The sequence below is a fragment of the Homo sapiens genome, chromosome 9 (genome assembly GCF_000001405.40).
Source record: "Homo sapiens chromosome 9, GRCh38.p14 Primary Assembly".
Lineage (NCBI taxonomy): Eukaryota > Metazoa > Chordata > Mammalia > Primates > Hominidae > Homo > Homo sapiens.
The window spans coordinates 76,316,594-76,332,137 of NC_000009.12; the positions used below are offsets into that span (position 1 = coordinate 76,316,594).

At 46.7% G+C, this 15,544-nt stretch overlaps 1 protein-coding gene and 1 long non-coding RNA gene across 6 annotated transcripts in view; one reads left to right on the forward strand and one right to left on the reverse strand.

Moving 5' to 3' along the window:
• The window catches only part of PCSK5 (proprotein convertase subtilisin/kexin type 5), a 473,167-nt gene that overhangs the window by 426,785 nt on the left and 30,838 nt on the right, over positions 1 to 15,544 (forward strand). For all 5 annotated transcript variants that reach the window (XM_047423454.1, NM_001372043.1, XM_011518769.4 and 2 more), the window contains 3 exons: positions 4,829 to 5,046; positions 6,459 to 6,695; positions 11,416 to 11,646. In XM_047423454.1, the coding sequence (XP_047279410.1) occupies positions 4,829 to 5,046; positions 6,459 to 6,695; positions 11,416 to 11,646 (686 nt within the window). The remainder of the gene's footprint in view (positions 1 to 4,828; positions 5,047 to 6,458; positions 6,696 to 11,415; positions 11,647 to 15,544) is intronic.
• On the reverse strand, positions 10,944 to 14,960 carry LOC124902183 (uncharacterized). Its single transcript, XR_007061583.1, has 2 exons — positions 14,327 to 14,960; positions 10,944 to 11,777 (listed from the first exon to the last, which is right to left on the reverse strand). It is a non-coding gene; the product is annotated as an uncharacterized LOC124902183 (long non-coding RNA).

Here is a 15,544-nt window from a genome sequence, read left to right on the forward strand (position 1 = left end):
CCAGTGTGGCGGCACACACCTGTAGTCCTAGCTACTCAGGAGGCCAAAGTGGGAGGATCACTTGAGCCCAGCAAGTCGAGGCTGCAGTGAGCCATGATCACACCACTGCACTCTAGCCTGGGCAACAGAGCCAGACCTTGTCTCACCAAAAAAAAAAAAAAAAAAAAAAAAAAAAGAATGTGATCTATTTAAGAATGCACTAAATTTCCTTAATTTCAAATTTCTCAAATCTGATCAAACTGCTGGTGGGCATATAACACATTGCCTGTCTTGTTCAATTCATTTTTAAGAGATAGACTTTGTTTGAGCAAAGTAGCTGAGTCTTTCTTCTTCAAGTGTTCTCTGTCATGGTCAAAAAAAAGCTAAGGGTACTACTGTGTGAGAAAGCTCAATCTTAGCTTTTATCTGGATGCTATTTCTTTCTCTCTCTTCTACCTAGACTGCTTTCTTCTCCAATTTTTCTTACCTGAAACTATATCAGAAATATGACTTTTTGGCTGGGCACAGTGGCTCACACATGTAACTGGGAGGCCAAGGCAGGCAGATCACTTGAGGTCAGGAGTTTGAGACCAGCCTGGCCAACATGGTAAAGCCCCATCTTTACTAAAAAAATACAAAAATTAGCCAGGCATGGTGGTGCATGCCTGTAGTCCCAGCTACTCAGGAGGCTGAGGCAGGAGAATCACTTCAACCCAGGAGGTAGAGGTTGCAGTGAGTTGAGATCACGCCACTGCACTTCAGCCTGGGTGACAGGGCAAGACCCTGTCTCAGACAAAACAAAACAAAGAAATGTGACTTCTGTTCACCCCTGCCCTATTTCTTCCTGGAACACTCAATATATTTTTGTTTACTGAATGCATACAGTAAATAAATGACTGAAAGAATGATTAAACGTGTGAGTGCTGATTAATTAAAACACCAAGTAAAAATGCTGCGTAGCAGCGGATCCCTTCCTGGCTTGTGATTTAAAGAGGTCTCTGGTAGATTGGGTTATTTGTTGCAGTTCTTCGCCACTCCTCGTATTCATGCCCACTGCCTGCAACTTTGCACCAACTCCACTAGAGGTGAAATGGACTTCCTTGTCCCTTGACTTTGGCTGGGTTATGTGATTTGTTTTGGCCAATGACATGTTAGCAGAAGAAAGGTGGAGGCATAAAATGTGCCCGATTGAACTTGCCCTTCTACGCGTTTGTCATGGCTGTGAGAAGAACGTCCCCTGGTAGTCCCGGTAGCCAGGGAAAATAGAGGAATGTGAAGGCATGGACCCAGTGTGTAGCCTGGAGTCAAGCCTGCCAAGCCCAGCCTAGATCTGCTTCCCCACACACATGAGTGAGAGTAAATGATTGTTGTTTTAAGCCACTGAGTTTTGGGTTGGGATGGTTTGTGGCACAGCAATATTATGGCGCTAACTCACTAATGGATCATGATAGAAAGCAATTGGAATAGGTACCTATGACATCAGAAGTCCATTTTCTCTAAGCCGGCTTATGGTTCTTCCTCTTCCGCGAGTTCCAGCTCTTCCATTCAGCTTTTCCCACCAAAGAAACCTCATCTAAGTTCATGTCTTTTGCAGGGACATGGACGAAGCTGGAAACCTTCATTCTCAGCAAACTAACACAGGAACAGAAAATCAAACACTGCATGTTCTCACTCATAAGTGGGAGTTGAACAATGAGAACACATGGACACAGGGAGGGGAACATCACACACCAGGGCCTGTCGGAGGGTAGGGGGCAAGGGGAGGGAGAGCATTAGGAGAAATACCTAATGTAGATAGATGATGAGTTGATGGGTGCAGCAAACCACCATGGCACATGTATACCTATGTAACAAACCTGCACATTCTGCACATGTACCGCAGAATTTAAAGTATAAAAAAAAAAGAAAAAAGAAAAAAAAGAAACCTCATCTATCCATCCCTCATCTCCCAAATATATTTGAGAGGATTGGGGTTGTATATTTTACTGTGTTCCCCCACCAGTGAGTGATTTCTACAATGGGATAGTTTAATCACTGGGGTTCTATATACACAGACATAAGATTCCGCCTGGAAGAAGGTGATTTGCACAAACACGCTGGTACTCAAAATATGTTTAGTGCTGTGTGCAAATGTTCATATGTATGCATTTGAAAAAAGTCATCAGAGGTTGGTTGACAGCATCCAGTGGTTCCAATCTTACAGGGCATTAACCCTTTTGAGTCTTTTGGAAATTTTTATTGTTTATTAAATGTTTTTAAAATTTATTAATTGAATAAAAAATATTTTCCACTTTAAAGTTAGGCTCTAACAAAAAGAAAAAAATAATAAAACTTGGGTCACATAGGGAAAAGAGAAGATGACTAAACTATACACAAATTAACAACAATTGTTCTCAAACCAATCAAATTCACAAGAATATGAACCCCAAATATCTGAGGCAGGTCTCAGTCAATTTAGGAAGTTTATTTTGCCACAGTTGAGGACACATGCCCATGACAGCCTCAGGAGTTCCTGATGACATGTGCCCAAGGTGGCCAGGGCACAGCTTAGTTTTATACTTTTTAGGGAGACATGAGACATCAATCAATATATGTAAGATGTACATTGTAGGCCGGGCGCGGTGGCTCACGCCTGTAATCCCAGCACTTTAGGAGGCCAAGGTGGGCGGATCACGAGGTCAAGAGATCAAGACCATTGTGGGCGGAGGATTACCTAGGTGCCGAGGCAAGAGACTGAAGGCACAAACTGTTTCAGTATAATAAAGAAAATAGTTAGAATAAGAATAGTCATAATACAAATTAGATATAGAGATGATCATGGACAATTATCAATCATTATTAATCATTAGCTTTTAATATTACTCTTTGTTGCATTACTAATATAACCTAGGAATAACCGGCAGGTATAGGGTCAGGTGCTGAAGGGACATTGTGAGAAGTGACCTAGAAGGCAAGAGGTGAGCCCTCTGTCACGCCCACATAAGGGCCGCTTGAGGGCTCCTTGGTCGAGCGGTAACGCCAGTGTCTGGGAAGGCACCCGTTACTTAGCAGACCGCGAAAGGGAGTCTCCTTTTCTTGAGGGAGTCAGGGAACACTCTGCTCCACCAGCTTCTTGTGGGAAGCTGGATACTATCCAGACCTGCCCGCAGTCATCCGGAGGCCTAAACCCCTCCCTGTGGTGCTGTGCTTCGGTGGTCACACTCCTTGTCCACTTTCATGCTCCTCCTGCACTCCTGGTTCCTCTTTGAACTTCATAGTAGATAGCGGTAGAAGAAATAGTGAAAGTCTTAAAGTCTTTGATCTTTCTTATAAGTGCAGAGAAGAAAACGCTGACGTACACTGCCTTCTTTCTCTGCTTCGGCTACCTAAAAGGGAAGGGCCCCCTATCCTGTAATCACGCGACTTGCTTCACCTTGTCAATCACTTAGAAGGTTCACTCTCCTTACCCTGCCCACTTGTCTTGTATGCGATAAATATCGGCGTGCCCAGCCATTCGGGGCCACTACCGGTTTCCGCATCTTGATGGTAGTGGTCCCCCGAGCCCAGCTGTTTTCTCTTTATCTCTTTGTCTTGTGTCTTAATTTATTACAATCTCTCGTCTCCACACACGGGGAGAACACCTGCTAATAAGCACCGTAGGCTGGACCCTACAGACCATCCTGGCTAACACGGTGAAACCCCGTATCTACTAAAAAAATACAAAAACAATTAGCCAGGCATGGTGGCACGCACCTCTAGTCCCAGCTACTCAGGAGGCTGAGGCAGGAGAATCGCTTGAACCTGGGAGGCAGAGGTTGTGGTGAGCCAAGATCGTGCCATGCACTCCAGCCTGGGTGACACAGCAAGACTCTGTCTCAAAAAAAAAAAAAGAAAAAAAAAAAGTACATTGTAGCTTTTTTTTTTTTTTTTTTTTTGAGACAGAATCTCGCTCTGTTATCTAGGCTGGAGTGCAGTGGAGTGGCACAATCTTGGCTCACCTCAACCTCTGCCTTCCTGGTTCAAGCAATTCTCCTGTCTCAGCCTCCCGAGTAGCTGGGACTACAGGCGCAAGCCATCACACCTGGCTAATTTTTATATTTTTAGTAGAGACTGGGTTTTGCCATGCTGGCCAAGCCAGTCTCAAACTCCTGATCTCAGGTGATCCACCCACCTCAGCCTCCCAGAGTGCTGGGATTACAGGCATGAGCCACCCTACCCAACCCATTGTAGCTTTTTAAAATCTTAGTAACTATCTGGTTTTTGGTTTTGTTTTTTTTTTTTTAAGACAGAGTCTCACTCTGTCACCAGGTTGGAGTGCAGTGGCATGATCTCGGCTCACTGCAGCCTCTGCCTCCCGAGTTCAAGTGATTCTCCTGTCTCAGCCTCCCGAGTAGCTGAGACTATAGGCGTGCACCACCACACCCAGCTAATTTTTGTATTTTTTAGTAGAGACAGTGTTTCACCATGTTGGCCAGAATGGTCTCGATCTCCTGACCTGATGACCTGCCCACCTCGGCCTCCCAAAGTGCTGGGATTACAAGCGTGAGCCACCACACCCGGCCAGTTAGCTATCTTTTTAAGGAATAGCGTGGGAGGCAGGTTTACCCTAAGCAGTTCCCAGCTTGATTTTTCCCTTTGGCTTAGTAATACTGGGGTCCCAAGATTTATTTTCCTTTCACAAGAATAATGCTTGTCCTTTTCCTTCCATTTTTCTGAATGTTCTTTTCACTTCCTTATAAATCCCATGGATGCCTCTCAGCTGACGACAGCAGCAGCCCTTTTGTTTTTAGACCTAATTCCTTTTCCCCAGGAATGAGTCACTTCTCCAGCAGGTCAGCTTCTCCAGTTGCACTCTGTCTTCCTTCCACAGGGGCTCTTATGCAGAAGACGGCATATGTGAACGCTGTAGCTCTCCTTGCAGAACATGTGAAGGAAACGCCACCAACTGCCATTCTTGTGAAGGAGGCCACGTCCTGCACCACGGAGTGTGCCAGGAAAACTGCCCCGAGAGGCACGTGGCTGTGAAGGGGGTATGCAAGCATTGCCCAGAGATGTGTCAGGACTGCATCCATGAGAAAACATGCAAAGGTACCTAGGAGCTTCCCACAGGAGAGCAAGGCTCTGCTGAGCCACCAGTTGGGGGCCGATTATCTGAGGGTGGATGGCAAAGAGCTGTGGGAACCAGTCTCCCTACCATTCCTGAAAGGTATGTCTCTGTGCCTGTCATCAGAGAAACTGAGGGTGAGATACACCCTTTTCATTATGGATGCTGCAAGTTAAGACAAGCAAGAGCCCCTTTTTGCATGATCTCTTACACTCACCCCCATATGTACACACACAGCAGATGTGCAAGTGCTATCCTAGGTGCTAGAGGTACAGAGAAGAACCCAATGTTCTCATCTTTTTTTTTTCCTTGAGATGGAGTTTCACTCTTGTTGCCCAGGCTGGAGTGCAATGGCTCAATCTCAGCTCACTGCAACTTCTGCCTCCCATGTTTAAGCGATTCTCCTGCCTCAGCCTCCAGAGTAGCTGGGATTACAGGCACGCTCCACCACGCCGGGCTAATTTTAACATTTTTAGTAGAGACGAGGTTTCTCCATGTTGGTCAGGCTGGTCTCAAACTCCTGACCTCAGGTGATCCACCGTCCTCAGCCTCCCAAAGTGCTGGGATTACAAGCGTGAGGCACCACGCCCAGCTGTTCCCATCTTTTGGAACACAAAATCTTACAGACTGATAGTAAGCCACAAAACACAGAGGTAGCTAGAAAACTGCAGTTGTTAAAAAGGATAGGAAAGAAAAGTTCGGGCAACTATGACTGAGATGACCACTCTGGCTGTGAATGAATTTTGTTGTTTTTTTCCCTCAGGAATTATCTCCCCCAAAAAGCTGTTCAATTTTCTCTCCAGAATAAGACAGACTCATTTAACTGGTGCTGTCCTATCCAAAGTATTCTCTTGGTGTGACCTCAAGTGTTTCCCAGGATTCCCCCCAAAGTAAGAAAATGAACACAAAAAAAATAAACCCGCAATGTATTCTTCACACTGATCAATCCTGTATTCATTGTTGTACCTGATCAATGAATGAAAAGTTAACTAATCCAACCATTCCTAAACTGCTTTCTGTGTTGAAAACAGTGTGAGGTTCTCAATACAATTTTTTAAATCTGTTAATGCTCTTCGGGTTTTTCAAACAATACCGCCAGCCTCTCAGCCATCCCTGTCTTTTGCAGCATTGCAAATTTTTGCACTGCACCTCCAAAGGGCAGACCATTTCATTGTGTAAGTCCAGCACCATCTAATACGGTCACCATGTGTGGCCTCCTTGTCCCAAGGCAGGGCTTGTTAGACATCAAGTCTATGCCCTGGCAGGGTGGGTAAAGGGCAAGCATACTCTCAGGTCAAATCAACCAAAGTGCTGAGGGAGGAGCTAGCCTACTGCAGACAATGAATTCCTTTCTCCTACCCCCCGGGGATAACTTGCTGCTTCCTCCTTTTCCCAGAGTGCACGCCTGAGTTCTTCCTGCACGATGATATGTGCCACCAGTCCTGTCCCCGTGGCTTCTATGCAGACTCGCGCCACTGTGTCCCCTGCCATAAAGACTGTCTGGAGTGCAGTGGCCCCAAAGCCGACGACTGCGAGCTCTGTCTTGAGAGTTCCTGGGTCCTCTATGATGGACTGTGCTTGGAGGAGTGTCCAGCAGGAACCTATTATGAAAAGGAGACTAAGGAGTGCAGAGGTAAAGACTTCTGGGATTCAAAATAGGCTCCGGGGTTTGCATAGTTCCAGCCCCAGCCCCAGCGCCAGAGCTGTCATCTCAATCTTTTTTTTGTTGTGTTTTGTTTTTGTTTTGGGACAAGGTCTCCCTCTATTGCCCAGGCTCAAGTTCAGTAGCACGAACATGGCTCACTGAAGCCTCCGCCTCCTGGGCTCAAGTGATCCTCCCACCTCAGCCTCCAGAGTTGCTGGGAACATAGAGATGAGGTCTCAGAATGTTGCCTAGGCTGGTCTTGAACTCCTGGCTTCAAGCAATCCTCTGCCTTGGGCTCCCAAAGTGCTGGGATTACAGGTGTGAGTCACCATGACCAGTCCATCTCATCCTTTACCATCTCACTCAAGGAGGCATATTTTGAACCGGTTGTAAATAATCTTTAAATGAATCACTCATAAGCTTTGTACAGGTAACTTTTATTAGTGACAAATCACGTGGACCTTCCTCACAACAGTGGCTATGAACTGCTGGTCAAAAGAAGTTATCATATAAAGATTTACAGCAGAGAGGAGGAGCCTTCAAAAGCTACCTGAGACTTTTCTTGATAACACAAGCAAATTGTGACACCATAAGGGACTTTCTTGGTGCCTCTTGTCTCCCTTCCTGGGTGATTTTTTTTTTTTTTTTGAGACAGAGTCTCACTCTGTTGGCTAGAGTGCGGTGGCACGATCTTGGCTTACTATAACCTCTGCCTCCTGGGTTCAAGCGATTTGCCTGCCTCAGGCTCCTGAGTAACTGGGACTACAGGCGTGTGCCACCACGCCTGGCTAATTTTTCTATTTTTAGTAGAGAGGGGGTTTCACCATGTTGACCAGGCTGGTCTTGAACTCCTGACCTCAAGTGATCCACCTGCCTCGCCCTTCCAAAGTGCTGGGATAATAAGCGTGAGCCATGGCGCTCGGTCCATATTTTGTTATTGTTGTTCTTGAGATGGAGTCTCACTCTGTTGCCCAGGTTGGAGTGCAGTGGCATGATCTCAGCTCATCGCAGCCTCCACCTCCTGGGTTCAAGTGGTTCTCCTGCCTCAGCCTCCTGAGTAGCTGGGATTATAGGTGGCTGCCACCACACCTAGCTAATTTTTGCATTTTTAGTAGAGACAGGGTTTCACCATGTTGGCCAGGCTGGTCCTGAATGCCTGATCTCAAGTGATCCGCCCACCCTGGCCTCCCAAAGTGCTGGGATTACAGGTGTGAGCCACCGCGCCCAGCCTCCCTTCATGGTTTGCTCCCTGGAAGCTCCCCACCTTCCTCTTCATATCCTTCAATTCCTGCTCCAAGGTCCCCATTTCCACTCCCACTCAGTCCCTGCATGTTCAAGAAAGGATCTGCTATTATTTATACCTCCTTATGTTTTAACTCGGCATGAATCATTTGCCTCTTATTCATTATCAAGGAACAGAAAAATAAAATAAGTTATGCACTCTAGAATTCTCTAGCAAGTGAGAGAAATGTTGTGGGGCGGGGGCTTTTCTAGAGCCCAGGATTCACTCTGTTGAGGCAGCCTGAGGTCCTTCACCCCCACATGTCGCCCCCAAGCAAACACGACAAGATAGATGTCCAGAGGCAATTCCCCTAACAACCGCGAGAGCCTGAGAGTGACCTTCCACTGAGAAACCCTGGGACACCCACACCCTAGGACATACTGAGGGGAAGGTTTTTAGTAGGACACGAAGATGTGTCTCGGTCCTGAAGGCTTTCTGCTCCAGCCTTGTGCTGTGGATATGTCTTTTTGTGTGTTTTATATAAAGCACTATTTAGTGTTAATGTCCTACCTGCCCATATGTGAAAAGGCGTGGATGTCAAGGCTGTGTCCGCATGCAGAAGAGGCGGGTGTTCGTGTGGGAGGCAGGCTGTGGAGCTGGGAATGGCTTCTGGGAGGTGAGAGACTCAGCAGCAGGCCTCCAGCGCCATCTTGCCTCTGCGAGGGCAGGAACTGAGGTTCAACTTCTGGCCTTTCTCTGGTGTTGAATAATGAAAGTAATTTACCATACAGAGAGCTTTACAGGTCTCAGAGTATGTTTTCTTAATTTATCTGATTTAATTATCTCCTTGAGAAAGGCCCCTGGTTGCCCATTAGAATCACCTGGGCAGCTCTTAAAACCACAGATGCCTGCACCCAACATTCTAATTCCTTCTCCCACCACCAGTAATTCTGATGCTTAGTGTGGGTTGAGAGCCATTGAGGTAAATGGCAATTTTCTGCATTTTTCTGAGAAGGAAACAGATGCTTTGAGAAGTTAAGCACTTGCTCAATGTGACCCCACTAGTGAGGACAGAGTTGGAAACTCACTTGAGGTGTCTCCCTACAATGACATTGCACTTTCTTTTTTTTGAGACGGAGTTTTGCTCTCGTTGCTGCCAGGCTGGAGTGCAATGGCGCGATCTGGACTCACCACAACCTCCGCCTCCCTGGTTCAAGAGATTCTCCTGCTTCAGCTTCCCGAGTGACTGGGATTACAGGCATGTGCCACCACACCCAGCTAATTTTGTATTTTTAGTAGAGACAGAGTTTCTCCATATTGGTCAGGGTGGTCTCGAACTCCTGACCTTAGGTGATCTGCCCGTCTCTGCCTCCCAAAGTGCTGGGATTACAGGCGTGAGCCACCATGCCCGGCCGCCATTGCACTTTCTACCAGACCAAAGGGAGGGGAAGGAATGTGGTATTGGAAGAAACAGTGACAACCTGACTTTCCAGAGAGATAATACAAAGAACCTGATCTGAAAATTAAGATTTGGGGAAGTGTAGAGAAGCGTTTAGAATGGAGCAATCTCAGCCGGACACGGTGGCTCACATCTGTAATCTCAACAACACTTTGGGAGGCCAAGGCAGGAGGATCTCTTGAGTCCAGGAATTTGAGACCAGCCTGGGCAACATAGCAAGACCCTATTTCTAAAACAAAAATAATTATACAAAAATTAGCCAGATGTAGTGGTGTGTGCCTGTAGTCCCAGCTACTCAAGAGGCTGAGATGGGGGGATCACTTTAGCCTGGGAGGTCAATGTTTCAGTGAGCCATGATCACACCACTGCACTCTAGCCTGGGTGACAGAGCAAGAACCTATAGCAAAAAAAAGAAAAAAAAATCTGTAAGCAGGATCTTCTCTAAGAAACACAAGGACTTTGGATCCATTCCAATCACCCAGATTATCCTGTAATAGATAGTACAGACACCTCTAAAAGTCCCATACCTTTCCTGAAGCACTGGAGCAGAAGCAGCAAGGCAGTTGCTAAGGTCCTGGGCTCAACTCCTGATACTACTTAGCGTAAGTGACTTAGCATCTCCAGCCTCAATTTCCTGATTTAGATAAAATGAGAGGATAATATAAACAATAATAATACCATGCATGTATCCACCCAGGGAATGCTTACAGGGGGGCCTGCTATGTGCCGTGTGCTCTTTCAGGTCTGGGGAACAGCAGGGAGTGAGACAGAGTCCCTGCCCTCATGGAGCTCACATTCTGTTAGGGAAGACAGGTACTAACGACCATAAGCCAAGAGCAAAAATAAGGCAGAGGTGCAGGACAGGGAGATAGGCAGGATGGAGATAAAACTTGAGAGATGTCTTAGATTTCATTGAGAAAGGCAGGAAGCAAACCATGCATGCCTCTGGGAGAAGAGAATTGCAGGCAGACAGAATGGCAACTACTAAATCCCAGAGATGGTCGGCCTGGTGCAGTGGCTCATGCCTGTAATCCCAGCCCTTTGGGAGGCCAAGGCAGGAAAATCACTTGAGGCCAGGAGTTCAAGACCAGCCTGGGCAGCAAAGTGAAGGCCCATCTCTATTTTTTTTTTTTTTTTTTTCCTGAGACAGGGTCTCACTCTGTCACCCAGGCTGGAGTGCAGTGGTGCAATCACAGCTCACTGCAGCCTTGACCTCCTGGGCTCAGGAGATCCTTCCACCTTAGCCTCCTGAGTAGCTGGGACTACAGGCACCCGCCACCATGCCCAGCTAATTTTTGTGTTTTTTCTAGAGACAGTGTCTTGCCATGTTGCTCAGGCTGGTCTCGAACTCCTGGGCTCAAACAATCCATCCACCTTGGCCTCCCAAAGTGCTAGGATTACAGGCGTAAGCCACTGCACCCAGCCCCCGTCTCTAGTTAAATACAGAAAAAGAAAACCTAGAGGTGGAAGATAATTGTTATTTTCTTTTTTTAACAAATACTTATCGATTCCTATTACATGCCAGGCCCTCTCATAGGCACTATGTATTCAAAAATAAATGCAAAAGGGACCTTTATTTGTCAACAGACAATTAAATACATTCCAACAATTGCTGTATTCGTGATAAGCTCAAGGTACTCCGGAGGTGAGTGGAGGACCATAACAGTAGGTGTTGTGACGGTGGAAAATTCGATGCCATTACAGAATGGCTTGTTATTATTTTGTTGCAGTTTGGGTAATTATAGTGAGCCTTACTAATATTTCTGAGATGGCTATTGCAGGAAAGCCCTCTCTGGATACAACAGAGAAAATAAAATAATAATTTTCTCTCATTTTGCAAAAGAATGGTCCACCCCAGAGCTCAAGGGCTGTACTCAACTCATGGCCCCACACCATTGGCCCAGAGCTCTGGAAATCTCCGGAAGAAATGTGAAAGGAATGTGAAGACCCTTTCCCAGGGGAAGCCATTCCCACGAGGGCCACCCTGGCTCTCGCTCACTCTGTCTGCTGCCCCTCCACGCCCACAGATTGCCACAAGTCCTGCTTGACCTGCTCATCATCTGGGACCTGCACCACCTGTCAGAAAGGCCTGATCATGAACCCTCGTGGGAGCTGCATGGCCAACGAGAAGTGCTCACCCTCCGAGTACTGGGATGAGGATGCTCCCGGGTGCAAGCCCTGCCATGTTAAGTGCTTCCACTGCATGGGGCCGGCGGAGGACCAGTGTCAAACATGCCCCATGAACAGCCTTCTTCTCAGTGAGTTACTTCTCCGAGGACAGCTTTGTGTTTCCATCTCTCTGGGAAACTGCCTTGCACACTGCCTTGTCCAGTAGATACTGGCTTCTTTCTTTTTGATTTTTTGCTTTGTGTTTGGGAAATGTTCAAACCTGCAGAAAAGATGCAAGAGTAAGAACTGTACAAAGAACAGCGCACGGATGTGCTTCATCCAGTTCGCAAATTGCTCATCTTCTACACCATTTGCTTTATCATTTGTTCGTGGGCTCTCTCCCCCCTTCTCACTCATTCTCTCTCTCTCTATCGCTCTCTTCCTCTCACTCTCTCAATGTATACATGTACATCATTCCCAATACATATTTTTCGAAGCCATTTGAAGGCATACATCATGGCCCCTTTCCCATAAATATTTTAGTGCCTATTTCCTCAGATTAGTGATATTTTCTTACATAACCGCAGGATAGTTATCAACTCTAATAAATTGTACATTCATACAATACTTTAATATACTATCCATATTACAATTTTCTCAGTGCCCCTTTAGGATTCAGGCTAGAGTCAGTTGTTTCATTTAGCTTCCATGTCCCTTTTTTGTTTGTTTGTTTGTTGGGAAGGAGTCTCACTCAGTTGCTCAGAGTGGAGTGCAGTGGTATGATCTCGGCTCACTGCAACCTCTGACTCCTGGGTTCAAGCAATTGTCATGCCTCAGTCTTCTGAGTAGCTGGGATTACAGGTGGGCACCATCGCTCCCGGCTAATTTTTTTTTTTTTTTGTATTTTTGGTAGAGACGGGGTTTCACCATGTTGGCCAGGCTGGTCTTGAACTCCTGGCCTCAAGCAGTCTGCCCTCCTCAGCCTCCCAAAGTGCTGGGATTACAGGTGTGAGCCACTGCGCCCGGCCACTTTTTTGTTTGTTTGTTTTTTGTTTTAAGAGACAAGTTGGCCAGGCGCAGTACCCAGGCTGTTGGAGTGCAGTGGCACGATCATGGTTCACTGCAGCCTTGAACTCCTGGGCTCAAGAGATCCTCCTGCCTCAGCCTCCCAAGTAGATGGGATGGGATTACAGGCATGAACCACCATGCCTGGCCCTTCCATGTCATGTCCAGCCATTTTTTTTTCTTTTTAGAGACAAGGGTCTCACTGTGTTCCCCAGGCTGGTCTTGAATTCCTGGGCTCTAGCTATTCTCCTGCCTCAGTCTCCCAAAGTGCTGGGATTACAGGCATGAACCACTATGCCAGGCCCTTCCATGTCCCTTTAGCCTCCTTTAATATGAAATGTTTCCACACACTTTCTTTTTCTTTCACAATATCAATGCTTTAGAAAAATACAGTCTTGGCTGGGCACGGTGGCTCACACCTGTAATCCCAGCACTTTGGGAGGCTGAGGTGGGCAGATCATGAGGTCAGGAGTTCAAGACCAGCCTGACCAACATGATGAAATCCCATCTCTACTAAAAATACAAAAATTAGCCAGGTGTGGTGGTGGGCACCTGTAGTCCCAGCTACTCGGGAGGCTGAGGCAGGGGAATCGCTTGAACCCGGGAGACAGAGGTTGCAGTGATCCGAGATCGCACCACTACACTCCAGCCTAGGCAACAGAGCAAGACTCTATCTCAGAAAAAAAAGAAAAGAAAGGAAAAATACAGTCTTCATTTTTCCTTTCGGGTGACTGTGAAGTTGCCCGTGATCAGTTGCAGAGTGTGCATGCTTGGCCAGCATACTTCAGAAGTGATGTTGTATCCTCCGAGAGTCACACCTGGAGGAACGTGATCTCCACATGCCTTTCCTCGGTGATATTAATGTTGATCACCTGGCCAAGATGTTCAGTTTCCCTACTGCATAATTACTATTTATTCCCTTGTAACTAATAAGTAGCCTGTGGGGTTACACTTTAAGAACATGTAGATATTCAGCTCCTCATCAAAATTTCCCCTCCATTTAGCATGGTTGATTAAGAAATCCCTCTTGAGCAAAAAGTGGCACAGGTCAAGGTTGGCCACGGTCCCACAGATCAGAGTTGAAGGTTATTGCTAATATGAAACAATGTCCTCAGGTTCCCAGGGATACTGTGACTAGGCTTAAAACAAGCATGGGAGAAAGAAAATGAAACAAAACTTAACTAAAAAAGAAGTCATAGGAGACAGAAGAGAGAGATGAATATGGTGAAGACCAGGAAGTATGAGCACTTTTCTCCCCCACCAGGAGAGTAGACCTGAGAAGCGTGAAACTCCAAATAGACATGTGTGGTAGGCTGGGCGCAGTGGCTCATGCCTGTAATCCCAGCACTTTGGGAGGTCGAGGCAGGAGGATTGCTTGAGCCCAGGAGTTCAAGGCCAGTCTAGGCAACATAGTGAGACTTCATCTCTACAAAAAATGGAAAAAAATTAAAATTTTAAATTTAAAAATTTTAAACATTAAAAAAAAATGTTTTAAAGACATGCATGGCAAGCTTTTCCTCTTCATATTGAGCGAGGACACCATCCCCCTGCTAAGACACAGGGAGACCTATTCTCAATACCATTCCTGATCACTTCACAATAGAAAACACTCAAAGAGACCAGTCTTCTCTATCCATCTACCTTAGCTCCTGGTCCACAAATCTCTGTGACTCTCCTTCCCAGCAGTTGCTGCTTCATAAAAGCATTCCCTCCAGCCACGTCTCCCAGGTAATCCCACCCCGTCGGACCTTCTTTTCTACTTACGTCCAATCTAGAGTGCCACCAGTAATCATCTCAGATGCCTTCATATAGAGAAGACAGCTTGCCTCCACAAAGTGGTCTTCCCCTCATCCGAGGCTGCAGATTAGACTAGAATTGAGGCTTCAGTGCTGGTATAGGACACAGAGCTGTAGTCCCCCTGGGAAATGGGTGCAGATTTGCTCAGCCTGGTATCCTCACATTCTCTCTACCCTGTCCCACACCACCACACCACCAGGGTCAGGCTATTTATAAATTAGATACTTTTTTTGGACATCGTGGTAGACTGAATAATGGCCCCCCTGAAGATGACACATCCTGATCCCCAGATCCTGTAAATGTATTACTCTACTTGGTAAAGGACTTTGGGGCAGTGATTTAGTTGAGGATCTCGGCATAGAGAGATTATCCTGCATTATCCACGTAGACCCAATGCCATCACAAGGGTCTGATAAGAGAGATGCCGGGGGTGGGCCAGGCATGGTGGCTCACGCCTGTAATCCCAGCACTTTGGGAGGCCGAGGTGGGCGGATCACAAGGTCAGGAGATCGAGACCATCCTGGCTAAAACGGTGAAACCCCGTCTCTACTAAAAATACAAAAAATTAGCTGGGTGTGGTGGCAGGTGCCTGTAGTCCCAGCTACTCGGGAGGCTTAGGCAGGAGAATGGTGTGAACCCGGAAGGTGGAGCTTGCAGTGAGCCAAGATTGTGCCACTGCACTCCAGCCTGGGCGACAGAGTGAGACTCCATCTCAAAAAAAAAAAAAAAGAGAGATGCCAGGGGATCAGAGTCAGTAATAGAAGGTGATGTGATCAGAAGCAGAGGGACAGAGAGAAGCTACTGCACTGCTGCCTTTGAAGACAGAGGAAGGGGCCATGAGCCAAGGCATGCAGGTGGACTCTAGCAAGTGGAAAAGGAAAGGAAACAGATTCCCTCCTAGAGCCTCTAAAAGGAACAGAGCCCTGTGGATCTATTTTGGACTTCTGACCTCCAGAACAGTAAGATAATAAATTGTTGTTTCAAGGCCCCAAGTTGGGGATACTTCATAGGAACAGCAATAAGAGACTAATACGGCGGTGTTTTTCCTTCAGGAAGCTGGGGCTTCCCCCTAGTTAACCAGATACATGAGCTGGACAATGAGCCATTGCCAACATCCACAGGCGCCGGACTGTAGTTTCTGTTCTACCCACCACAGCTAATCCACTGAGAAATTTGGGTGGGACA